At 38.2% G+C, this 26,791-nt stretch overlaps 1 protein-coding gene across 3 annotated transcripts in view, besides 3 other annotated features; it reads left to right on the forward strand.

Annotated features, from left to right (window-relative positions):
• Nucleotides 1-26,791, forward strand: part of ARHGAP42 (Rho GTPase activating protein 42) — a 306,654-nt gene that overhangs the window by 13,085 nt on the left and 266,778 nt on the right. Inside the window, exon 1 of one of the 3 annotated variants that reach the window (XM_011542616.3) lies at nt 15,036-15,152. The exons of the other annotated variants lie outside the window; for them this stretch is intronic. The gene's annotated coding sequence lies outside the window, so the exon portion shown is untranslated. Of the gene's footprint in view, nt 1-15,035; nt 15,153-26,791 lie in introns of those variants that run through there. 3 annotated transcript variants of the gene reach the window in all.
• Nucleotides 25,183-25,352: an enhancer, noted in NCBI's record as "experimental_18414 CRE fragment used in MPRA reporter constructs". NCBI's record gives its function as "activates a minimal promoter by MPRAs in K562 erythroleukemia cells, with activity observed for both the introgressed and non-introgressed 11:100596371 variant alleles {active_cell/tissue: K562}" and the evidence as "EXISTENCE:reporter gene assay evidence [ECO:0000049][PMID:34662402]".
• Nucleotides 25,183-26,134: a biological region, named in NCBI's record as "NANOG-H3K27ac-H3K4me1 hESC enhancer GRCh37_chr11:100596358-100597237".
• Nucleotides 25,255-26,134: an enhancer, noted in NCBI's record as "NANOG-H3K27ac-H3K4me1 hESC enhancer chr11:100596358-100597237 (GRCh37/hg19 assembly coordinates)". NCBI's record gives its function as "activates a minimal SCP1, AML or CMV promoter by ChIP-STARR-seq in naive H9 embryonic stem cells {active_cell/tissue: H9 hESC(naive)}" and the evidence as "EXISTENCE:reporter gene assay evidence [ECO:0000049][PMID:30033119]".

Genomic DNA, 26,791 nt, shown 5'->3' on the forward strand with positions numbered 1-26,791 from the left:
TAAAATGATAGCAGGTTTTGTCCCATTGATTGACTCTTCTTGCACAAAAGATTTCTCTATACCATGAAATGCTGTTTGATAGCATTCACCCATAGTAGAACTTCTTTCAAAGTTGCAGTCAGTCCTCTCAAACCCTGATGCTGATTTTTATTAAGTAAGTTTATGTAATATTCTAAATCGCTTGCTGTCATTTTAGCAGTGTTCACCGCATCTTCACCAGGAGTCAATTGCACATGGAGAAACTGATTTCTTTGCTCATCTGTAAGAAGCAACTCTTCATTCGTTCAAGATTGATCATGAGATTGCAGCAATTCAGTCACATCTTTAGGCTCTACTGCTAATGCCACTTCTCTTGCTATTGCCATCACATCTGCACTTACTTCCTCCACTGAAGTCTTGAACCCCTTCAAGTCATATATAAGGGTTAAAAATCAACTTTTTCCAGACTTCTATTAATGATATTTTGACCTCCTGTCATGAATTACCAATGTTCTCAATGATATTTAGAATGGTGAATCCTTTCCCGAAGGTTTTCAATGTACTTTGCTGAGATCCATCAGAGGAATTGCTGTCTATGGCAGCTATAGCCTTACAAAATGTATCTCTTAAATCATAAGATTAGAAAGTTGAAATTACTTCTTGATCCATGGGCTACAGAATGGATGTTGTGTTAGTTGGCATGAAAACAATATTAATCTTTTTATACATCGCCATCATAGCTCTTGGGTAACCAGGTACATTGTCAATGAGCAGTAATATTGTAAAATGAACTTTTTTTTTTTTTTTTTCTGAGCAATAGGCCTCTAACCACACAGCGGATTAAAATATTCAGTAAACAGTGTACTGTCATTCAGGCTTTGTTCCATTTCTAGTGCACAGGAAGAGTGGATTTAGCATGCTTCTTAAGGAGTCTAGGATTTTCAGAATGGTAAAGGAGCATTGGCTTCAACTTAGTGTCACCAGCTGCTTTGGCTCCTAACAAGAGAGTCAGCCTGAAGCTTTGAAGCCAAACATTGACTTCTCCTCTGTAGCTATGAAAGTCCTACATGGCATCTTCTTCCAATAGAAGTCTGCTTCATCCACATTGAAAGTCTCTTGTTTATTGTAGCCACCTTCATCCATACTCTTAGCTAGATCTTCTAGAGAGCTTGCTGCAGCGTCTACATTAGCACTTGCTGTTTCACCTTGCTCATTTATATTGTAGGGATGGCTTCTTTTCTTACACCTCTTGAACCAACCTCCGCTCACTTCAAACTTTTCTTCTGCAGCTTCTTCACCTCTCTTATAGAAATCATAGAATTGAAGAAAGTTAGGACCTTGGTCTGGATGAGGCTTTGGCTTAATGCAATATTGTGGCTGGTTTCATCTTCTCTACAGACCACTCAGACTTTCTGCATATCAGCAATAAGGCTGTTTTGCTTTCTTATCATTTGTGTGTTCACTGAAGTAGCATTTTTTTTTTCTACCTCATGGAACTAGGAGAAATGGAGTAGCACTTTTAATTTCCTTCAAGAACTTTTCCTTTGCATTCATAATTTGACTGACAACAGAGGCCTAGTTTTCGGACTGTCTTGGCTTTTCTTGTGCCTCCCTCATGAAGTTTGATCATTTTATCTTTAAAGTGAGGGATGGCTGGGCATGGTATATTACACCTGTAATCCCAGCACTTTGGGAGGCCAAGGTGGGCAGATTGCTTGAGCTCAGGAGATTGAGACCAGCCTGGTCAACATAGCAAGACCCTGTCTCAAAAAAAAAATAATAATATAATGAATAAAAATAAAAATAAAGTGAGAGACATGCAAATCTTCCTTTCATTTGAACACTTGGAGGCCATTGTAGGGTTATTAGTTGGCCTAATTTTAATATTGTTGTGTCTCAGAGAATAGGGAGGCAGAAAAAGAAAAACAGAGATGGAGGAATGCCTGGTTGGTGGAGCAGTTAAAACACACACAACATTTATTGACTAGGTTCACTGGCTTTTATAGACACTGTTCATGGCATCCCAAAACAATTACAGTGGTAACGTCAAAGAGCATTGGTCACAGGTCATCATAAAGATGTAGCAATAATGAAGAAATTGTAATATTGTGAGAATCACCAAAATGTGACAGAGACAGGAAATGAGCACATGCTTTTGGAAAAGTGGTATCAATAGACTTGCCCGATGCAGTGTTGTAAAAAACCTTCGATTTGTAAAAAAAAAAAAAACTGCAAAGTACAATAAAATGAGGTTTGCCTGTATTTCAATTAGTCTTTCAATTTTAATAGAAACATCCAGGTGCCTAGGATATTTGTGTTCTTTTTTTTTTTTTTTTTGACACGGAGTTTTGCTCTTGTTGCCCAGGCTGAAGTGCAATGGCACGACCTCGGCTCACTGCAAGCTCTGCCTCCCAGGTTCAAGCGATTCTCCTGCCTCAGCCTCCCGAGTAGCTGGGATTACAGGCACGTGTCACCATGCATGGCTAATTTTTATATTTTTAGTAAAGACGGGGTTGGCCAGGCTGGTCTCGAACTCCTGACCTCAGGTGATCCGCCCACCTCGGCCTCCCAAAGTGCGGGGATTACAGGCATGAGCCACTGTAATCCCTGCCTGGATATTTGTGTTCTAATTAGCTCTTACCATATAGTGGATGCTCAGTAACTACTGAATATCAACCAGTTTGCATTTTACTAAGAGCATGAGATGGAAGAGTATTTTGAATATCTGTATAGTAAATGAGCCAGAGAATGGGGACTATGAATATACTGTTTCGTATTACTTTCAGCAGGTTTTACGTGCAACTGCGCTGGCTTCTCTGGGCTAACTTCTCAGACTAGATAATCTGGGGGAACATCATCAGGAGTTAGAGCTTTGTTCCAGTGTTGGCATTGCCACTAACCAGTATTATGGGTCCAAGCCATTGGCCCCATACTCTATTTTCATCAAAAATGAAAATAGCATTTGCCTTATATTTCTTGCAGGATTTTTGTGTGGGCCAATGGAAAGAATGCATAATAACATATTATGAAGATGTAGCATTTTTTTTTCACTTGCTCTTGGCAGGATCATTGTAATTGGAATTATTTCAGCTTTTTACAAGATTTAACTTTAACAGTTTCTTGTCAATGTTATTATCATATTCCCTAAAAATGAGAAATTATTGAAATGGTAATGCTTCTATTAGATGTTAAAGCATGGGCTTGTCCCACTCAAATTAGATCTGCTTAATAGGAAATGATTATAAGATATGATATAGTTTTGATTTGCCTTTTAAAAAATAATTATCTATCTTGATTTGAGAACCAAGAATTAGGTTGCCATTTAGGGCTTAATGAACAGACAGTATAGATTTTGAGACTTTATAGACATATCTACTGGTGCTTTAGTTCTGCTGGCTCAGGTCAGTGGTGTATACAAATTATTTAAAATGATGATCACAATTTGCACTTCTCAGAAGTGAAATCAATAATTCAGCAATTTTACAAAATTAACAGGCCAAACTGCAGATGACAGAACTCTTTCCCATGTTAGTTTCTGCACCGAAGACAGACAATGGCTTAGAAAAGTGCTTTCCTAGGTGTCTCTTATGATACACAGATGTTTTGTAAATGTAATTATGCTGAAGGTGAGATCATCCAGGCAGTTATTGGTGAGAAAAGAAAATGATGAAATTGATAGGACATTGCTGGAGGGGCTGAGTGTGTTAATTAGAGACAAAAGAGACATTCAGTTAAGAATTGAAGGGGAAGATTCAGCTGGCTCAGTGAGAACATTGAATTGAGCCTTTTAGCTAGTTGATCCAGGAAAGGTGGTACAGTTAACTTTGTGTCAGAATCACCAGGAGCAGATATGTGGATGGTGCCCTAAAAACAAAACAATATTTAAAAGAAAAAAGAAGGAAAGATATTTCTTATTGGATCTGTGAGTTAAAAAGGAGCTCAGGCCCGGGGTTGAGGGAATTAGGGAACAAGGGACAGGAAGTCTTAGCTTTTGGGACAGCTTAGAAAGTGAAGCACAGGCCGGAAAAGGCCAGCCTCGGAGGTTAAAGAAAGAGAATGCAGATCCTGAATAATCCTGAACAGGGAAAGTGCGTGAGAGTGATGGCATCCAGGTTTGTCAAGTTTAAACTCTCTTGGGTGCACAGCCTTTTCTTCCCAGTATTGCCTTCATTCCTCAGACTGCTCTAATGGAAATTAGAAATCTGTGAGTATTCATGGCTGGCTGAGTGTGATGTTTTGTGATATCCACCGGTAAGAGGGGATGAGAGGATGAAACAAGGATGCAGAAGCAAGATGTCAATTGAAAGATAACTCTCAGGTCAGGTATGGTGGCTCGGTGGTTCATGCCTGTAATCCCAGCACTTTGGGAGACCAAGGAGGGAGGATCTCTTGAAGCTAGGAGTTGGAGACCAGCCTGGGCAAAGCAAGAATCCCCGCCCCCGCCGCCCACTCCTTGTCTCTACAAAAATAAAAAATTAAACCAGGTGTGGTGGCATGCACCTATAGTCCTAGCTACCCAAGGAGGCTGAGGCAGGAGGATCGCTTGAGCCCAGGAGCTTGAGGTTGGAGTGAGCTATGTTCAAGCCACTGCACCACAGCCTGGGTGAGCCTGGGTGAGCCTGAGTGAGCCTGGGTGAGCCAAACCCCAACAACAACAACAACAAAAAAAAAAAAAAAAAAAAGAGAGAAGAAAAGAAAAAGAAAGACACTGTTCCTACTTTAAGTCCTTAGGTTATGGCTTGGATTTGTATCTTTGAGATTGTGCTTTGTACTTCTGTCAGGATATATATTGGCACAAACTAATCCCAATTTAACCAAATAATCTGAACATTAAATCTGGCTAAAAGAAACAGAGGGGTGCTCTGTAGCTAACAGCTTAGTGTTATCACTCACACATGTGCAGTGTTAATAACATTTCATCTTTAATCATTAGAACATTTTAATGTTAAGTAGGATCATTGAAGATTTAGCCTTAACAGTAGTCAGCCTAGAATAGTAGAAAGAGAGTGAGCTTTGGAGTCAGAGAAATGCTTTTCAATTCTAGGTCTGCGGCTAGTTAGCAGCTTGATTGTGAGCACATCACCTGGCTTCTTTTGTGAGTTTTTTTCTTTGTCCTTAATATGGGAGCAATATTTACTTTATCTGCATATTTTTGGGATTCATTGAGATAACACATGTAAAGTATCTAGTACAATTTATGGTACTCGGTATTAAATGTTAGTTTTCTCACCTTGTTCATCTGTAGCTAATGTTAAGACTAGAGAGAAATTAGACCAGAGTTATAAATAACCACCACCATGTTTCATTCAAAAGAGGATGTGAGATGGTTTTTCTAAGCAATATCTTTACCTTACCTGGACACATGCATTATATTTAATTATTTTTTATTTTATTTTTTAGAGTCAGGGTCTCACTGTGTTGCCCAGGCTGGTCTCAAACCCCTGGTCTCAAATGATCCTCCCGCCTTGGCCTCCCAGAGTGCTGGGATTATAGGCGTCACTGTGCCTGGCATATGTTTAATGTTTCATATTGATGTGAGAGCTGTAGACCATGTATCATTGCTTAGTTTCCTGAATGTGCCTTGCAGTGGGAGTGCACCTGTACTTCTGTGGAATAGTTAAGTAACTTTTTTTTTTTTTTTTTTTTTGAGATGGAGTCTTGCTCTGTCACCATGCTGGAGTGTAGTGGTGCGATCTCGGCTCACTGCAACCTCTGCATCCCGGGTTCAGGCAATTCTCCTGCCTCAGCCTCCCACGTAGCTGGGACTACAGGCGCGTGCCACCACGCCCAGAGTTAGCTGACTTTTTAAGGACCTTTCCTTATCTGAGATTTTGTGATTTTGTAAATAAAATGGTTTTCATTGTATCTTGTCTGGATGATTTGATTACTTCCCTGTTTCTCTCCCTAGCAAGTTAGCTCCATAAGAGTAGGCACCAAATCTTTGGGACTCAGGAGATGGACACATGATATATTTTTAGTAAGTGCTCATTACATGACTGAGCTTACAGGAAGTTGTGTCAGACTAGTGTTTGGAGAGGCTGAAGTCTACAGGTGGTCATTAACCACTTCATATTGGAACCACTTCTGAAACTTTGTATGTGAAGACAAATATCATTGTGACAACTCTTTTAGAATGTTATGTAGACTTACCAGAAAGAGGTTGATTAGAGTAGGCTTATTCAGGGAATTGATATTTGTATTAAATAATTAATTTTCTCTTCAGCAATGACAATTATATATAGTAACTCAGATTCAAGGGATATTGCTAAAATGTACAAATGATTTATATTTCCTGTTTGTAACAAAGCTTTGCATTTTCAAGATGTCATTTCAAAGGGTTGATTTTAATTTTATGGGAATGCCTTCTTTAAAGATGCCATTTATATTTTTTAACAGCTTTCTTAAGATATAATTCACTGCCATAAAATTTACCCTTTTAAGAATCCACTGGTTTTTAATATATTCAGAGTTGTACAACCATTACTGCTATCTAATCTTAGAATATTTCTATCACCCCCAAAGAAACTCTATCCCCATTAGCTGTCACTCCTCATTCCCCATCTTCCCTAGCCCCTGGAAACTGTTACCAATATACTTTCTGTTTCTACATAATTGCCTGTTCTGGATTTTTCATATAAATTGAACCATATAATATGTAGCTTCTTGTGAAGTGCTGTGCTTACTTAGCATATTTCAAGGTTCATCCATATTTAAACATAGACCAGTATTTCACTCCTTTTTATTGACAAATGTTTTTCAGATATATGAATGCACCAAATTTTGTTATCAATTTGTCAGTTGAACATTTTAGTTGTTTCTTCTAATTTTTTTGGCTGTTAAGAATAATGTTGCTGTGAACATTCATGTACCTTTTTCTGTGTGAACATATATTTTCATTCTCTTGGGTATATACCTAGGAGTGGAATTGCTGGGTCATATAGTAACTCTGTATTACAACTCATTTTTACAAAGAGAAACTTAAGTTTATAAGCATTTAAATTGCATTCTTTATGATAGAAAGCATTTCAAGAGCCAAGTATATATTTAAATTAATTATTTTTCGTAACAAATTCAGACAGGGCCTTTATATGCTGGTGACAACAGAATGACTTAGAAGGTATTTAAAGAAGTATCATTTCTGCATTCTATTAATTATAGATGGATAACTATTTTAAACTCTCATCATCAGTAAATGCGAGACAAAAGCAATGTTTACATAAGTGCAAAGGGTGGTAAGAGGAATGGGAGGAGAAGACAAGAAGATGCAAAGAACAGTGTTGAGCAAGGACGAAAGAGGTGAAGGAGAAAGAAAATGAGACATTTACTCGCATATTCATTCAACAGATGTATTTAGCACTTGCTGTGTGTCAGGTACTGCTCTAGGCCTTGGGAATATAGGCCAGACAGAGGTCCTGTTTTCCTGGGTTTACATGACTGTGGACCTGCTGCAAATATGGTATACATGTTGTTATTGCTTGGTGTTGAGAGTTAGTAGGTGCCATGTGTAGCCTTTATTTCCTCCAGATAGCTGCCTTCTTTTGTGTGTTCCATAGACTGATTTGTACATACTTTCTTGATAGTAGGCATACAGCATAGGAATCTTATATGAGAATATGATATCTGTTCTTCATCCAATCAGATCTATTCAGGAAATACTTATTGACCACCTACTACACTTCAGGCACTGTTGTAGATATGGAGATTGTATATGTATGTACACTGAGTAGCCCTAGTAAGTCATTCCTTCTTGAGCCCTGCCTTCCTCATTTTTGCAGTGTGGATAATAATAATGGTAATGCCTCCTTTTTAAAATGAAGATTAAGTCCCTTTTGTGAGCTGTACCTAGCATAGTACCTGGTACATAGAAATCAATAATTGGTCTGGGCGTGGTGGCTCACACCTGCAACACCAGCACTTTGAAAGGTCTAGGTAGGAGGATTGTTTGAACCCAGGGGTTGGAGACCAGCCTAGGCAACATAGCGAGACCCCATCTCTACAAAAAATATAATAAATTAGTTGTGCGTGGTGGCACACGCCTTTAGTCCCAGCTACTTGGGAGGCTGAAGCAGGAGGATCACCTGAGCCCAGGAGGTCAAGGCTGCAGTGAGCCATGATGAAGCCTTGCACACTCTAGCTTGAGTGACAGAGTGAGACCTGTCTCAAAAACAAAACAAAACAAAAAACAAACAAAAAATCCCCCAAGAAATCAGCAAATAGTGGATATTATAATGACACTAGTTTTTAAATAGAAAAGGCAAAGTAACATCACTATTAAAAATATTCCAAAAGAGAAATGTTTCTCTGGCTTTCTATGATGATAAACTTTATTATATTTTTAATTTAACCTCCCATGTTCACATGCACACACTTAAAAAAATATAAATATTATAATTGTATCACAGTAGTCCTTCCTTATCCACAGAGATAAGTTTGAAGACCCTCAGTCAGAAACTGAGGATAGTAACAAACCCTATGTGTACTGTTTTTCATATCCATATATTGCTATAATAAAGTTTAATTTATAAATTAGGCATAGTGAGAGATTAACAACAATAATCATAAAATAGAACAGTTATAACAATGTACTGTAATTAAAGTTACATGAATATGATTTGTCTGTCTGTCTCTCAAATACCTTGTACTATACTCACCTTTCTTTTTGTGATCTGTCAATCTGCTACCTGAGACAGCTCTTTTTGTTTTTTTGAGATGGAGTCTCACCCTGTCACCCAGGGTGGAGTGCAGTGGCATGATCTTGGCTCACTGCAACCCCTGCCTCCTGGTTTCAAGCGATTCTCCTGCCTCAGCCTCCTGAGTAGCTGGGACTACAGGCACATGTCACTACGCCCAGCTAATTTTTGTATTTTTAGTAGAGACGGCGTTTCACCATGTTGGCCAGGCTGGTCTTGAACTCTTGACCTCAAATGATCTGCCCGCCTTGGCCTCCCAGTGAATGTTGTTTGTCTGTCTGTCTCTCAAATACCCTGTACTATACTCAGCTTTCTTATTGTGATCTGTCAATCTGATATCTGAGACAGCTCTTAAGTGACAGATGGGTAGGTAGGATATACAGCATGGAGAAGCTGGACAGTGGGGTGATTCATGACTCATGACTGCTTGAGACAGTCAATATTTCATTGTGATACTCAGAATGGCATGTAATTTAAAACTGGTTGTTTCTTTCTGGAATTTTCCATTTAATATTTCAGACCTCAGTTGACTGTGAGTAACTGAAATGGTGGAAAGCAAAACTGGATGAGGCAGGCCTACTATATATAGCATTTATACCACTATATGGAATATTTTTCTCGCTTCTGCATATTTTTTATTACTAGCATATTTATGGCTTAAAGTCCTCAGATTGAAGGTGATACTTATGTGTGAGTAATTTAAAGCAGTTGACATACAAAATGTAAGTGAAACCAGAATGGGTTACATTTTGAGTAAAGAAACATCTGCAGTTTGCTGCAGTCCACCAGAAGGAAATTGGATCATGTATCAGCTATGCGATTGAATAAGACTTTCATCTTTTAAAGAATTTTTCCTGCCTAAAATCTGCATCCATCTGTTATCCTGAAATGAAGCCTGTGATATACACACTGTGACATGGAGTTTGGGAAGCCCCAGAATATTCTTCTATTGCACTTGGGAATTCAGCGGGGTCGGGGGGGCATCTGCTGAACTTAACTGGAAATCAGGAACAACTATTTTCAAAGCACATTCAGGCTCACACTTTGAGATTACTCCTTTTTCTTAATGTGGACAGCTTAAGTCAGCTCTTGCATATTTCTTTTGGGGTTCTAAATTATTAAGTTTATTTTTGAGTTACAAATCATGTTATCTTTTATATATTATAACATTGTATTTTTTCAATGAATTTCTTTTTTATTTTTTTAGACAGAGTCTCACTCCATCTCCCAGACTGGAGTGCAGTGGTATGATCTCGGCTCACTGTAATCTCCACCTCCCGGTTGAAACGATTCTCCTGCGTCAGCCTCCTGAGAAGCTGGGATTACAGGTGCATGCCACCATGCCTGGCTAATTTTTTTTTTTTTTTGTATTTTTAGTAGAGATGGGGTTTCACCATGTTGGTCAGGCTGGTCTTGAACTCCTGACCTTGTGATCTGCCCACCTCGGCCTCCCAAAGTGCTGGATTACAGGCATGAGCCACTGCGCCCGGCCAGCAGTTTTTTTTTTTTTTTTTTTGAGACAGAGTCTCGCTCTGTCCCCAGGCTGGGGTGCAAATGGCACGATCTCGGCTCACTGCAACCTCTGCCTCCCGGGTTCAAGTGATTCTCCTGCCTCAGCCTCCCGAAGTAGCTGGGACCACAGGCACATGCCACCACACCCAGCTAATTTTTGTATTTTTAGTAAAGACAGGGTTTCACCATGTTGGCCAGGATGGTCTTGATCTCCTGATCTTGTGATCTGCCCGCCTCGGTCTCCCAAAGTGCAGGGATTACAGGCTTGAGCCACTGTGTGCAACCAGGAGTTTCTTATTAGAAGAAAATCTCGTAGGGTGCCTTTTGGCTTCAGGCTCTTTATGGCCACTTGTTCTGTTCAACCCTGTGGTGCCACACCCCCTCAGATCATACTTGTGTGCACATGCATGTGTGCATTAACATCCTAGAGTTTTCAAAGCTATGGTCTCTGTCCCTTTATATTTAGTACTTTGCCATGTACACATTTGTTTTAGGTAACTATTGAATAAATGGTTATGTTGAGTTTGTGAAGATTTAACACTGTGATATTCCAGAGCTTAGGACTGGTGATCAGTTGCCAAATTGAAATAACACTTTGGTCATTATTTTATGGGACTGTTGTATATTTGACTCTGTTGGCTGAAGCTTGACCTTGCTAACTGAAGCTTCTTTTCCCTTGGCTTCTTGGGAGCCATATTCTCTTATCAATCTTTTCATCAGCGTTTCCAACTTTTTCTTCTTAGTCTCTTATAGGTCCTTTACTTCTTCCTTCTACTTGAATGTGTTTATATTGTCCAATGAGAATCTTCTCTGTTTGTTTTTTGAGACAAGGTCTCTGTCGCCCATGCTGGAGTGCAGTGGTGAGATCTTGGCTCACTGCAGCCTTGCCCTCCTAGGCTCAAGTGATCCTCTTGCCTCAGCCTCCCAAGTAGCTGGGACTACAGGTGCACACTACCATGCCCAGATAATTTTTTGTCTACTTTCTTTAGACATGATGTCTCACTATGTTGCCCAGGCAGGTCTTGAACTCCTGAGGTCAAGTGATCCTCTTGCCTCAGCCTCCCAAATTGTTGGGATTACAGGCGTGAGCCACTGTGCCCAGCCCCTTTTCTCAGTAAACTTAAATTGGTGATGAATATTTATCCACAACCAAATGGTTATTATCTATGCAATAAACAAGGGGAAAGAAAGGTCAGGAAGCCAATAGGTAACTGGGCACTACACACAGGACAGTTGATTAGTTAAAAGATGAAAACAGCTGTTAGCCTATGAGAAGATAATCACCTTTACCAGGAGTCAAAGAAATGCAAATGAATATGAGAGTAAGGTAAATTGTTTAAATCTAATTAATTAGCTAAAAGATGTAAAAATAATATCTTTGGCTAATTAAAGGTGTACTGAGACTCTAACTTTCATTATGCTCCCTATGGCATTGTAAATTAGTAATATGTTTCAAGAACATTAAAGGGTTTGTACCCACTGATTTCGTGATCTCAATTATGATACTCTTTCTACAGCAGGTAATATTGATTGCCTACCCAGCTCCCTTGCCTTTTCTTCCTTTCTAAAGGAACCTTGAGTTTTTTCGGGAACACACCTCTACCCAGGTTGGGGGTAAGTACTAATTAGTTGAGTCACACAGCACCCCTTTGAGTTCGCTGCAGTATTGCATGCAGTTTGGGAACTGTGCTTTTAACCTGTATAAATAATTAGAATTTACTTATAATAGAAAATAATTAGAAATGACTTAAGTGATTGCTAATAAAGTTTACCAAATTAGTTATCTAGACAATTAAATATAACTCTTCTGATATAAATCTAAGAGAAAAGCGAAGTACAGAATTGTTACATGCTACTGTTATTATATGAAAAAAATTGCCTGTGAAAAAAATTAGTAAAATATAGCAGAAAGAAATGCGGTGTGCAAAATGTATCAGGGTGGTGATATTAAAGATATTTTTCTTCCTCCCCCCTTCTCCCCCCAGAAGTGGGATAAGGGAAGTTAATGAGAACTGAGTGGCAGGTGGTGGGAGGGAGGGACCTCCTGGTTGTCCTTCTATCTGAGCTTTGCAGGTGTAATTCTCCAGAGTGCACGTGGGTTTTCAGTATGCATGTGCGTGTGTTTGTGTGAGGGTGAGGGAAGGAGTTAATGAGTTCTGAAGCTCCCGCCAGTTACTGAGAATTGATCAGGTAGAAGCTGGAATAGATACAGTCTTTTTAAAGTCTTTACTCTTTAACTACATTTTTTTTCAATCCATGAACAGTACTCTGTAAATAATTTGCTAGCAACTTCCTTAGTTTTTAGTCTTCACAACCTTTCTCTACCTGCCTTCCTACCTCCAATGTCTGGCTATTTAATTTGCTTTCTCTCCTTTTATCCAATTATCTTTGAGCAGTGCCTCTTTTCATTCCTTTAGAAATGACATATCGAAAATATCATAAAATATACATATCCAAGTCTGGGTTGTCTTACTTGGTTGTGGTAAGCACGTGGTTTTTGTGGACAAATTAATTATACCAGGTGTTCCCATTAAGACATAACTAGTATTAACAACCATAAGTGTTCTCCTGGAAAACAGATTTAGGTTTTAAGATTATTGAGAATACATTTCTGGCACAGGTTTAAGTAGAGAACCTATAGTGAGTTTAATATCTTTTGTAATGTTTTATATACTATTAGAAACAAATCTCATTCCTGTGACAGTCCCTCATAGGAAAATATGTCCTTATTGTCTTTGAAGTCACAGATATTGAGGCAGATGGGTCAAAGTTGAAAGGAGAAAATTTGAGACTTGGAAATCATGAAACAAACTGCTACAGTCTTGTAAGATCTGCCATTGATTAGACCAACCTGGGAATGGATCCTCTGATCCTCTGTACAACCTACAACCTTGGGCAAGTTCTTAGCGCTCTCTGAGGCTGTTTCCTCTATTTTAAATATGGGATAACTATCTTTGCCACACAGGTTTATTGTGATAATTAAATTAATTCATTTTTCAGCTAATTATTAGTCACCTAATGTGGATTAAGCATCATGCTAGGGAGGGACATACTTAAGCTAAAATAAATGACCGAGTAAAAAAAATAATTTGGTTTCTCTTTAATTTCTGCTAAAAAATACATGGAAATTTTAAGGTATTTACCCAAAAGGAATTTGGTATAATAAAACATTGTTATTGGCTATCCTTTAGAGATTTCTTTAGGGGATCTGCAGAAATTTGTTTTTTTGGAATTATTACTCTTATGTGGCCTGCTGTATTCATTGCCTTCTCGGATCAAGCTTATATTTGAGCAAATTCGTTGCATTTTGTTTACTTTGGTGATCCATATGTTTGTATTTCTAATGTGGATTGAATTTTACTGTATTTATCAGTCATCCTTTCTTACAAAATTGTTATGCCACAATCATCTCTTCTGTTCTTTTGCTGAATTAAAAAGAAAAAAAATAATTTAAGGCAAGAATTTTGGCCACTGGGCTCTGTCTGGCCACTCTGAATAGGTATGGTTTTGTAATATGGTATCAGTATCCTGCAGTTTCTGTTATTTAAATCATGAGTAAACCGTAATGGGCAGAATGATGCAAAAATTTCTGAAATCCTGTTTTTGTGAAAATCTTTTTAGCAGAGCTTTTATATGATCTAAAGACTATGAAATGATTTGTTTAAAGAGGACTAAAATGTATTTACCTGTCAAGTCAATTCTTAAATGTTGCAATGTGAAAAGGTTATTGTTAATGACATTTCATATTCCTAATTCTACTAAACTTTATAAAAACATTTCAAAGGGCTAACAGGGAATTGAATTTTAGGTTCACTTACATGTAAAACATAAAAATTTGTGTGTGTGTGTGTGTGTGTGTGTGTGTGTGTATTTGAGATACTTCAGTGCTGTTGGAAGCAGCCATTCCCACTAACCCTAACTTCCAGAGCTGATGGGATGCCTCATCTTTCTTCTACAACCAATGGGAAAGGACTTCCGAAATTCCAGTGTGAAAAGAATTTTGTTGAGCACATGTGACAGCCAGCCCTCTAACATCTCGGGATAGTTTTTAGTTCTTGGACCTGATGGAGAGGTAGTAGACATCAGTTAGCGTAGAGATATCTGGCTAGGCTTTTCAGATTCTTTTTGGTCAGGCTTTTCCAATTCTCTTTCATCAGGTTAAACTACAACAGATAGACCTAAAGAATTCTTATTTAGCCAGGCACAGTGGTAACGCCTATAATCCCAGCACTTTTGGAGGCTGAAGTGAGTAGATCATTTCAGCCTAGGAGTTCGAGAGCCGAGGAGTTCAAGACCAGCCTGGGCAGCATGGCGAAACCCTCTCTCTACAAAAACAATACAAAAATTAGCTGGGCATAGTGGTGCACACCTGTAGACACAACTACTCAGGAGCCTGAGGTGGGAGGATCACCTGAGCCTGAGAAAGTCAAGGCTGCAGTGAGCTGTGATTGCACCACTTCACCGCAGGCTGGGCGATGCAGTGAAACCCTATCTCAAAAAAAAAAAAAAAAAAAAAAAAAAGTTTATTTAAACCAGGTTTACTTTGTATCTCAAATTAATTATACCCTTGTGTAGTTTTTTAGCTTTTGTCTGCAGTTGGGGAATAAGGGTAACTTTCTGTCCTTAAATATGTAGGGCTGGGAGAAAACTTAAAACTTGGTGGAAGAAGTATTCTGCCTTTGAGGGAGATCTCCCTACGCATTCATTTCCTGTTCTAGTTAACTTCTTAGGAACTATCCAGAACAGCCCAGACTTTGTCCTTGTCCTTTGTAGAACAGGATGTCCTGCAATGGTTTAACCCAGTGAATCTAGTATCCCCTGGAGTATAAAACCTAGAGTGGAATAGTTTCAGCTGCAGTTTGATGTGGGGCATGCACAGAAAAGACTTCATTTCTCCCAGGCAGCTTTCCTGACACTTGGGGACTGGCTTGCCATGGATTTTAGGCTTCTCTTGCTTCTTGTTGCCTGTCTGTGAGTAATAAAGTTGCTTTGCTTAACTTGATGTGACAGTGTTCTGTCTCACAAGACTCATCCTTGGCGTATGTGCAAAACTGAGCTTGTGTAAAAACCTCCTGTCAGTGATAGACTTTAGTAGACATTCATGAGGGCTTTAGAGTCCTCCTCTGAGAGTGATACTGGTGCATAGTATTGGCGAGGTATTTAGAATCCTCCTCTGAGATTGATATTGGTGTGTGGTAATCCCCTCTCAGGGATTGATACTGGTGCACTGTATTCTACTTCACATTAGGGGCCTTATAAAAGAGTGAGGAAGCAATGATTTATATTCTTAGGAAGCTTACAACGAAACATAATACAGATATGTGAAAAGAACTAACGTGGATGGTTTCAGATGGTTGAGAAGTCATTGGAGGAACTGCAGTCAGCGTGTCTTCGAGGGAGATATCTACTGATGGGATTGGTGTAGGAAGACAGTCTGGCAGTACAGGGCAGCAGGGACAGCACTGAAGCAGAAATGAATAATCTTCATAACAGGGCTGACAAATTGGTATATTTTTAAAATGATAGCAGTTAACAAATGAGAAACGAGGGGAGACCTGGGAAACACGTACTGTTAGTTTTGAAAGTTAGCCTAAACTATCCCGTAAGCTTCATGGGGACTTTTGCCTATCCTATATTTGATTCACTGTGGTTTCTGCCCCTTGAATTGTGCTGGGTCCTTGGGGGTGCAGAATCATCATGTGTTGAGTACAGGCCATGACAGCAATGCAGCACATACCACTGCACATTTTAAGACCTGCTTGTGGTTCACTGTGAAGGACGTTTTTAAGCTTAGATAATTGAAACACGAGAATTTAATTATAAGTTAAAACCAAAAAACAAAACAACCAGTGGATTCCGTGTCAAACAAATGCTGTTGGTAATTAATGAAGATAATGAAATTGAGTACTTCAGAAAACGAACCAATAGTTTTCTAGTTAGTAAATTTACTGATTGTCAATTTCTGAAGCATCAGTTCTTTCTCTGGACTCACTTGTATGTTTATTGTGTGAAATACAACTGTATTTTTGTGGTTTTATATCGTATAGGGTAAAAGCATGTTTCTTAGGAGGACGACAGTATTATTAGAAAATGACTTGAATTTCACCGTAAAAATATGCTAAAAATATAAATTTCAGTAGTTTTATTTTGTTGGTAGGCAAGTCTGCAAAAAAGAAATTAATTAAAAATATTTTTTTGTAGGATAAGTCTTGTGAGAGATTTTAGGAAGGATAGGAACCTCTGACCCCCTTTAAATTAAAAACTATCTTTAGGTTATTTGGAGAATGAATGCATTGGGTGGAGCAAAAATAAATAATAAATAAGCAAAGACCTTGGGTATCAATTCAGAGCCCCTTGACTGAAGGAGGGCCAGAGAGGAAAATTCCAGGATGAGCTCTTGAGATACTTAAAGCTACAGAATTAAGTATTCATAGGGGATTTCAACAGCTTAGACATCTGTTGAATAACACACATCACTAAACATTTATCATCTGAGGATGGCTCTGGTTACGTAGAGGATAAATTCAAAAAAGGAAACCACGGAGAAGCAGTCTTGGTTTTGTTTCATGCAAGAAGGGAAGGAGTGATAATTCAAACTTGATGTGGATTTAGTATTTACTCTGCATGAACTGGCCTGAGTATTCTGTCCTGGCACTCAGGTTCTCTCACGTAGGATATTATATATTCAAATGTTCCAGTGGTTTTCAAACAGTGGTTTGTGACCCTAGAGGGTTGGTGAAATCAATGTAGTAAGTTGAACTACTATTAGAAAAAAAATTGAGTAAAAAAGATACCATATATAGGCCGGGCGCGGTGGCTCATGCCTGTAATCCCAGCACTTTGGGAGGCCGAGGCGGGCGGATCACAAGGTCAGGAGATTAAGATCATCCTGGCTAACACAGTGAAACCCCGTCTCTACTAAAAATACAAAAAATTAGCTGGACGTGGTGGCGGGCGCCTGTAATCCCAGCTACTCAGGAGGCTGAGGCAGGAGAATGGCATGAACCCGGGAGGTGGAGCTGGTAGTGAGCCGAGATTGTGCCACTGCACTCTAGCCTGGGCGACAGAGCGAGACTCCGTCTCAAAAAAAAAAAAAAAAAAAAAGATTCCATATATAATTCCAGCACTTTGGGAGGCTGAGGTTGGCAGATCAATAGAGGTCAGGAGTTCGAGACCAGCCTGGCCAACATGGTGAAACCCTGCCTGTACTGTAAATACAAAAATTAACAGGACGTGGTGGCACACACCTGTCATCCCAGCTACTCGGGAGGCTGAGGCAGGAGAATGGCTTGAACCCAGGAGGCGGAGGTTGCAGTGAGCTGCAGTGGACTGTTGCCTCCAGCCTGGGCAACAGAGCGAGACTCTGCCTTAAAAAAAAAAAAAAAAGACACCGTAGTGTATTCAGTGTATTAAAGGCAAATGCTGTTTAATGAAACTTGTTTCTGTTTTATAAGTACACATGCATGAGGATACAATATCAGATTTGAAAATGTAGTTATTACTGCGAGTCATGGTCAAAATAAAAAATTGAGGTACATTATCTTATGAGTTCAGGTGTGTGTCTCTAGCATGTATATAGTGAAGCCTGATTCACTTTTTATTCCAAAGGTATGTGGGACAGATCACTTGGAGAAGAGAGATGGTTTGGAGGTCACAGTGTTTGTGGCATGAGACACATTTTATAGGTCTTATGAGGCCCTTCAAGGTAGAACTTGGCCAGCCCCATTGTGAATAGCTCTTGAAGGTGGTCATAGCCACTGGATCTAGCATCTGATACTAAGGTCAAGAAAGAATTTATTTAGTTCATGAAAGCAGATATTTTCTGTGCAAATGCATGCCTTTGACATAAACCATGTCTTTTAATTTTGTTCTATTAAGAATATTTCAGACTTTTGGAGGAGTATAGCTTGGTTGTCAGAAAAAAGGAAGATTTACTCAGATAAACAAATTTGAAACAGCAAAATGCCAACCTGCAAAGTTTGAAGATAAATAAATTGGACAAGGACTCAAACACACCACGAATAGAAAAATTAAAGTTACATATAGGTAGGGAAATGGATTTCAAATGGTAAAATAAAAGTGTATTTCTGAACAAGAATTTAATTAAACTGGAATCATCTACCATGTGGTGCATAGTAATTTTTTACTAATTCTCACAGAGTAAATTCTCACTTAGACTAATTTCTCACATAGTAATTTCTCCCTTCATGTATATTAAATGCACAGATTACTAAAAAAGTGAATCCTATATTGAGTAAATTATCATGTAAATTAGTTTCTTGTTTATGTAATGGTTCAGTACTTTATTTAACGTGACTTATTTAAATATGTATTGCATTTGATAGATTTCATATTATTTTATTCAAGCTTTAAAGTATTCTCTAATGAATGGTATTTGTGATGGAGAAAGGAAGAGAAGGTTGTGATGCTTCACTATACCTCATGATTTATGTACCTTATTGAATACAATTCCTTAATAGATTGGAAGAACCAATCATCCTTCAAAGAAAATAGATTACTGGGAAAATATTGGAAAGAACATTGGACTAATTGAAAAACTTAGAATAAGAGCATTTAGTGGTAGATAAATTTAAAAATGTCAGGCACAGCTAAACGAATTCACATTTCTTGCTTCCTAATTCTTCATTCACCACTAGATACTGTCTTTTTCTTTTTGCTGAAATATTGGCCAGTCAAATAATAGGAGAAAACAACTGAATATTAATTGATAACTTTCAAGTTAGGTGAGGATTTTACTGCAGATTAAGACTGTAACAGGAGGATGTATCTACTTTGAGCTCTGTTGGAAGTTTTGGCCATGATAATTATTTAACATCAGTCTCCATGGCAGCAAGGGGAAAAGCTCTAGGCAAACAAACAGATGGATTCAGAGGACCTTAAGTGATCAAGTCCGGTAGGAGCCAGCAGCTGGCCTTCTGTGGGCTACTTATTAGCATTTTCCTTAGCTTGTTGTCTGCCTGCACTTGGCAGCAAGCTGGAGGTCAGATTTGTGATGCAAACACATTTGCATCCAGGTTCTGGTATCTACTCACTAACTCACAGGTGACCTCACCCATATCTCTGCCTCTCTCTTTCCTTTTTTTCTTTTATTGTGTGTGTGTGTGTTGTGTGTGCAGGTTCAAAATGACAGGTGGTAAAATGAGCAGCAAAAGGATACTCTTGGCTATACCGGCTCTTCCTGTCTTTCAGATATTGCACATCCTGAGCCTGTTGTTTTACATGGAAGAAAAATGAAGCCCCTTCACACATTCATAGAGAAGTGTGCTTGAAAAGAGAGAAGAAGCAGCAGAGAGTGCTTAGCAGCAAGGCTATTTACTACTTCTGTATCCTAGGCAGTTTTCCAGGCTGTAGTTTCACCCCCAACCTTGCCTCCCCTGCTGAATGTGGCTGGTGCCAAATTCCTGCTATTGGCTGAGTCATCATGTCCTAGTTGATCTGGCACCGTAGTCAACATTTGTAGCTTTTACCATTGTTGCTTTGGAGCTAGATCACTAGGTTAGATTATAGGCTAGATAATTAGGTTTTCCTAAATAGAGAATCTGCTGGTGCTGAAACTTGCCCCAGAAGGCACACCGTGGTGGTTATTCACGTAGATGGCCTGGTGTATGTGAGATGGGAAAATCCAGTAAGTCACTCCTTAATTCAATTCAGCAGCCTTTTACTGATTGCCCAGAAACTGGATGATCTGGCAGAATTAAATGGATTATTTTGTTTAAAACCTAAAGCAAAAAGTTTAAGGTGGGATTCCATATGTAAGTTGTTCCTATGAATGATTGTTGATAATGTTGGAAAAAAATGGGAAAAGAATTCATACAAATGACTGCCCTGATGGTGGGAATATAATTATTTCTGTCCTATTTTCCAAACTTTCTCTAATGTTTCAGTACTGTTTATACAATAATAATATTTAATAATAACAACTGGTTTTGTTCTCATGGGGGAAAAAGGCCCAAGATAAAAAAGTCCAGTCATATAAAAGTGAAAATATGGCTAGATTCAGTGTCTTCAAGAGTATTTTGAAAACGAAAACACCACAACAAAAAACCCCAAGAACTTAAAATGAGGATATTTAACGTTAATTGTATATGACTGTATTGGTTGAGATAACCTTTTTTTTTTGAGAGCCTAACATTGACATGTAATATTCATTGAACACATATTGCTTTTAAAAGTTTAAAATATACATATATACATGGTCCTTATTAGGCTTTTATTTTCTTAAAAAATTTAACTGTTTTTACCATGAACATTTTCAAACGTACTCAAAAATGAATATTAAAAAGAACTACCATATACTTCTCACTGAGGTTTAAAAATAGAATAATATGGTGAACTTCCATTTACTTATTTAGATTCTATAGTTATACAGAATTTTTTTAAGTTTTTTTTTTTAACTGAGCAGATAATACAGAATTACAATATTACCCACCTCTTCCCTGCCCCCATACACATATGAAGTCAAGTTTCCCCTATTAACATCTCGCATTAGTGTGGTACATTTGTTAAAATAAATGAACCAATATTGATACATTATTCTTAACTAAAGTCAAGAGATTACACTGAGGTTCACTCTGTGTTCTACAACTGGATGGGTTTTGGCAAATGCACAATGTCATGTATCTACCTTTGCAGTCCCATGTAGAATAGTTTTATAACCCTTCAATTCCCTTGTTCTTCTCCTAACAACTCTCCCGTGCTTTTCTCACCTAACCCAGGGCAACCACTGATATTTTGTTTTGTTTTAAACTGCTTCTATCGTTTTGCCTTTCCCAGAATGTCATACAGTTGGAATCATGCAATGTATAGCCCTTTCATACTGACTTCTTTCACTTAGCAATATGCATTTAAGATTCTTCCATCTTAAATGCATATTCCATGACTTGATAGCTTATTTCTTTTCTTTTCTTTTTTTTTTGGAGGCGGAGTCTTGTTCTGTCACCCAGCCTGGAGTGCAGTGTCGTGATCTTGGCTCACTGCAACCTCTGCCTCCCGGGTTCAAGCAATTCTTCTGCCTCAGCCTCTTGAGTAGCTGGGATTACAGGCACCCGCCGCCACGCCCAGCTAATTTTTTGTATTTTTAGTAGGGACAAGGTTTCACCATGTAGGTCAGGGTGGTCTCGAGCTCCTGACCTCAGGTGATCTGCCCACCTTGGCCCCTCAAAGTGCTGGAATTACAGGCATGAGCCACCATGCCTGGCCAGCTTATTCATTTTTATTGCTGAATGATATGATGTTATATGGATGTACACCAGTTTGCTTATCCATTCACTTATTGAAGGTCATTTTGGTTGCTTCCAAGTTTTGGCAATATTGAATAAAGCTGTTATAAAAATTTGTGAGCAGATTTTGTTTGGACATAATGTTTTCAACTCATTTTGGTTAGTACTGAGGAGTATGGTTGCTGGATCATATTATAAGAGTATGTTTAGCTTTGTAAGAAACTGCCAAACTTTTCCAAAGTGGCTGTACCATTTTGCATTTCCATAAGCAATGAGTAAGAGTTCCTGTTGCTGTATATCCTTGCCAGTATATGGTGCTGTCAGTGTTTTGGATTTTAGTGCTTCTAATGGGTAAATAGTAGTATTTCATAGTTGTTTTATTTGCACCTTCCTAATGACATATAACATTGAGCATCTTTACATTCGCTGTTTTGCCATCCTTATGTATTCTTTGGTGAGTTGTCTGTTCAGATCTTTTGCCTTTTTTATATCTGGGTTGTTGTTTTTCTTATTCTTGAATGTTACTAGTCCTTTGTATATTTTGGATATAAGTCCTTCATCAGATATGTGTTTTGCAAAGTTTTAAAAAAAATTTATTACTTTTTTTTTTTTTTTTTGAGACAGAGTCTCGCTCTGTTGCCCAGGCTGGAGTGCAGTGGCACGATTGGCTCACTACAACCTGCACCTCCCAGGTTCAAGTGATTCTCCTGCCTCAGCCTCCCGAGTAGCTGGGATTACAGGCATGCACCACCATGCCTGGGTAATTTTGTATTTTTAGTAGAGACGGGTTTCACCATGTTGGCCAGGCTAGTCTCGAACTCCTGAACTCAGGTGATGCGCCCGCCTTGGCCTCCTAAAATGCTGGGATTACAGGCGCAAGCCACCGCGCAAATTTTATTGTGTGTATTTAACGTTTACGTCATATGTTTTGCAAAGCTTTACTTCCAGTCTACAGCTTTTTATTCTCCCAACAGTTTCTTTCACAGAACAGACATTTTCAATGTTAATGAAGTGCAACTTACCAGTTTTTTCTTTGGATCATACTTTTGGTGTTATATCTAACTTTGGGTTTGCCAAACCAAAGTTTTCTAGATTTTATAATAATACTAGGTTATCTTGTTAGGAGTATTATGGTTTTGTGTTTACATTTAGATCGGTGATCCATTTCGAGTTCACTTTTGTAAAGGGTGTGAAGTCTATATCTAGATTTATTATTTTGCTTGTGGATGTCGTGTTGTTCCAGCATCATTTGTTTAAAAGACTGTCTTTGCATTATTATATTTTATTTGCTCCTTTGTCGAAGATCAGTTATGGGTCTATTTCTGGGCTATTTTATTCTGTTGGTCTATTTTTCTATTCTTTTACCAATATCACACAATCTTGAGTACTTTAGATTTATGGTGAGTCTTGAAGTCAGGTGATGCCCGTCCTCTGACTTTATTCTTCTTCAATACTGTTGCTTACTCTGCATCCTTCGCCTTTCAGTAAACTCCAGAATCAGCTTTGTTGATATTTATAAAACTGCTTGCTGGGATTTTGATTGGGATTGCATTCAATCTATAGATCAAGTTGGGAAGAACTGACACCTTGACAACATTAAGTCTTCCTATCTAGAAACATAGAATATCTCTCCATTTATTTAAATCTTTAAAAATTTTCTTTCATCAGAGGTTTCCTCATATAGATCTTAGATATATTTTGTTAGATTTAAACCTAAGTATTTCTTTTTTTTTCTTTATGGTGAAATGTAAATGATGTTGAGTTTTAAATTTCAAATTCCACCTTTTCATTTCTGATATAGGAAAGACATTGACTTTTATATATTAGCTTTGTATCCTGAAACCTTGCTGTTAGTTCCAGGAATATTTTTGTTGATTCTTTAGGATCTTCAACATGTACAGTCTTGTCATCTGTAAACAAAAACTTTTTTTTTCTTCACAATTTGTATTTCTTTATATCCTTTTCTTGTTTATATTAGCTAGGATTTTTAGTATGATGCTGGATTTGAGTGGTGAGAGGGATATCATTGTCTTGTTCCCAATCTTATGGAGAAAGCATCTAGTTTCTCACTATTCAATATGACATTAGCTGTAGGTTTTTGGTAGATCATCTTTATCAAATTGAGGAACTTCCTGTCAATCTTCCTAATTTGCTGAGAGTTTTTATTATGAATTGGTGTTGGATTTTGTTAAATGTTTTTCAAACTCTTTTAACTTTTTAATTTTAATTGACAATGAAACTTGTATATATTTATCTCAAATGCTCTTTCTGCATTTATTGATATGATCTTAAGATTTTTCTTCTTTAGCTTGTTGATATTATGGGCTACATTAATTGATTTTAGAATGTTCTGTCAGCCTTGCATACCTATAATAAATCTCACTTGGTGGGGGGTAATTTTTTAAACAGTTCTTAGATTCGATTTGCTAGTATTTTGTTGAGGAGTTTTATTTCTATGTTCGTGGGAGATATTGGTCTGTAGTTTTCCTTTTTTGTCATGTCTTTATCTGGTTTCGTTGTTAGGGTAATACTGTTCTCATAGAATGAGTTAGCAAGCATTATTTTTACTTCTATTTCTGTAAGAACTCGTGGAGAATTGGTTTAATTTTTTCTTTAAATGTTTGGTAGAATTCCCAGTGAGACTGTATGCACCTAGTGCTTTCTTTTTCGGGAGGTTTTTAGTTATTATTATTATTTTTAAAGATAAAGATGTATTCAGATTATCTACTTGGGTGAATTTTGAAAGTTTGTATCTTTCAAGGTATTGGTTCAGTTTCATCTAAGTTTTCATATTGTAGGCATAGAGTTGTTTATAGTATTTCTTTATTATCATTTCAGTACCCAGGGGGATTAGTAGTGATAACCCTGATTTCATTTCCGATATTTGGGTCTTTACTATTTTTTTTTTCTTGGTTAGCCTAGCTAGAGGTTTATTAATTTTATCAATCTTTTCAAGGAACCAGCTTTTGGTTTCATTGATTTTTTTTTCCTCTGTTAATTTTCCATTTTCAATTTTATTGGTTTGTGCCCTACTTTTTATTTCTTTTTTTTTATTTTTTTGCTGCTTGCTTTAGCATTATATTGCTCTTCTTTCTCTAGTTTCTTAAGGCAGAAGCTTAATTAATGCTTTTAGACCTTTCTGCTTTTCTACTATATGCATTTATTGCTAAATAGTTCCCTCTAAACACTGCTTTTGTTACACCCCAAAATTTTTATAAGTTTTATTTTTATTTAGCTCAAAATATTTTTAAATTTCTTTGGAGATTTCTACGACCTGTATGTCCTTTTGAAGTAAGTTATTTAATCTCCTGGTGTTTTTGGATTTTATATAATTCTATTTGCTCCCTTATGCGCCCATTTTATTGCTTTTAAATATTTTTCCTTTTTTTTTTTTTGGAGACAGAGTCTTGCTCTGTAGCCAGGCCGGAATGCAGCGGTGTGATCTAAGCTCACTGCAACCTCTGCCTCCTAGGTTCAAGCAATTCTCCTGCCTCAGCCTCCCGAGTAGCTGGGATTACAGGCGCACACCACCACGCCCAGCTAATTTTTGTATTTTTAGTAGAGATGGGGTTTCACCATGTTGGTCAGGCTGGTCTTGAACTCCTGACCTTGTGATCTGCCCACCTCGGCCTTCCAAAGTGCTGGGATTACAGGCGTGAGCCACCGCGCCCAGCCGTGACCAAAATCTTGGTGAATTATTCATGACTTAAGAATTACGGCTAGGCATGGAGAATCACGCCTGTAATTCCAGCACTTTTCGGAGCTGAGGCAGGAGGATCATTTGAGGCCAAGAGTTTGAGCGGGCAACTGTATCTACCAAAAATTTAAAAAAACAAAAATAATAATAAAAAAAAGCCAGGTGGCCCGGGCGCAGTGGCTCACGCCTGGAATCGCAGCACTTTGGGAGGCCGATGTGGGCGGATCACGAAGTCAGGAGATCGAGACCATCCTGGCTAACACAGTGAAACCCCCTCTGTAAAAATACCAAAAAATTAGCCGGGCATGGTGGCGGGCGCCTGTAGTCCCAGCTACTCAGGAGGCTGTGGCAGGAGAATGGCGCGAACCCGGGAGGCGGAGCTTGCAATGAGCCGAGATCGCGCCACTGATCTCCAGCCTGGGGGACAGAGTGAGACTCCGTCTCAAAAAAAAAAAAAAAAAGCCAGGCATGGTGGTGCGTACCTGTAGTCCCAGCTACTTGGAAGGCTGAGCTGGGAGGAGCACTTCAGCCTTGAAGTTCAAGGTTGCAGTGAGCTGTGATTGCACCTGGGAGAAAGACCTTGTCTCTCTAAAAAAAAAAAAAAAAAAGTTACTAGAACAGAGAATTAACTGCAGGCAGAGTTAAGAAATGAAAATAAAAGGTTGTAATGTTATATTACATTAAAGTGATGTACTCTGGACAAAAGAAGAGATGTAACGAGCAAGCTTTCGGATTCTGCCCTTTTCAGAAAGTAATCCCCAAGTCTAAAGCAAGGGAGTTGGAATACAGCTGATGTAAATTTGAATCCTGGCTCTATTTTGTATTACATGTGGAGATACTGGTGGTGCTGATGGGTTAGGATAATTGAGATAATGGAAGTAAAGTAATTAACTCAGCGTCTGTCACATAGTAAGTACCCATTAAATGGTTGCTATTGTTCAATAATGGTAATAGAACCCAAATTCAGCTATGTGGCATATAATTGTTTTGAATTAAAGGTATATTCCTGGGTACATTTTTATGTGTAAGCAAATAAATGCAATGACAGTTACCATTTTGTTTAGAACTATGTAATGCAAATTTCAAAGGACGAAAACTTATTTTACTCTTAAGAAAAATCTAGTCTGTTTGCAAAAGAAAGTCATGTTATTTGGGGAGCTGTATTTTCATATCTGTAATTTACATGGAGCACTACCAAAAAGTCATTATAGAATCCCACTAGGGAAGCCTTGTATAATTTCAGCTCCTTGAGTGGATGACTGAGCTGTTGCCATCTGAGTTGTGGAGGTGATTGGAATTACTTTCTCTTAAGTGGCTGCACTCAGTTGGGTGAACTTCTCTGTGGTGCTTTCTTTTTGCAATTACATCCATAGCAGTGGGGCTTCATTTGGCATTCATCTAACCTTGCTCAATTTGAAGTCATGATTCCAACAGGGAAGTGAGGTGATCCTAGGGGAAGTCCTGAAAGTTGAGGAATGCTGCAGAATTGTTTTTTAGATTGAGGGGAATGATTTAAGTTCTTGCTGGTTACAATTCCTCTGTTCCTCCTGGGGATCCGTGAAAATCACCTGCTGTCATGTGTTTGAAGAGCCATAGATGAAAGAAATGAAGGCTATGAAGAAATTATTATTGTTCATTCTGAAGTTTTTCTTTTTCTAATAGTTTGATTTGAA

Source organism: Homo sapiens, chromosome 11, assembly GCF_000001405.40.
Source record: "Homo sapiens chromosome 11, GRCh38.p14 Primary Assembly".
Taxonomy (NCBI): Eukaryota; Metazoa; Chordata; class Mammalia; order Primates; family Hominidae; genus Homo; species Homo sapiens.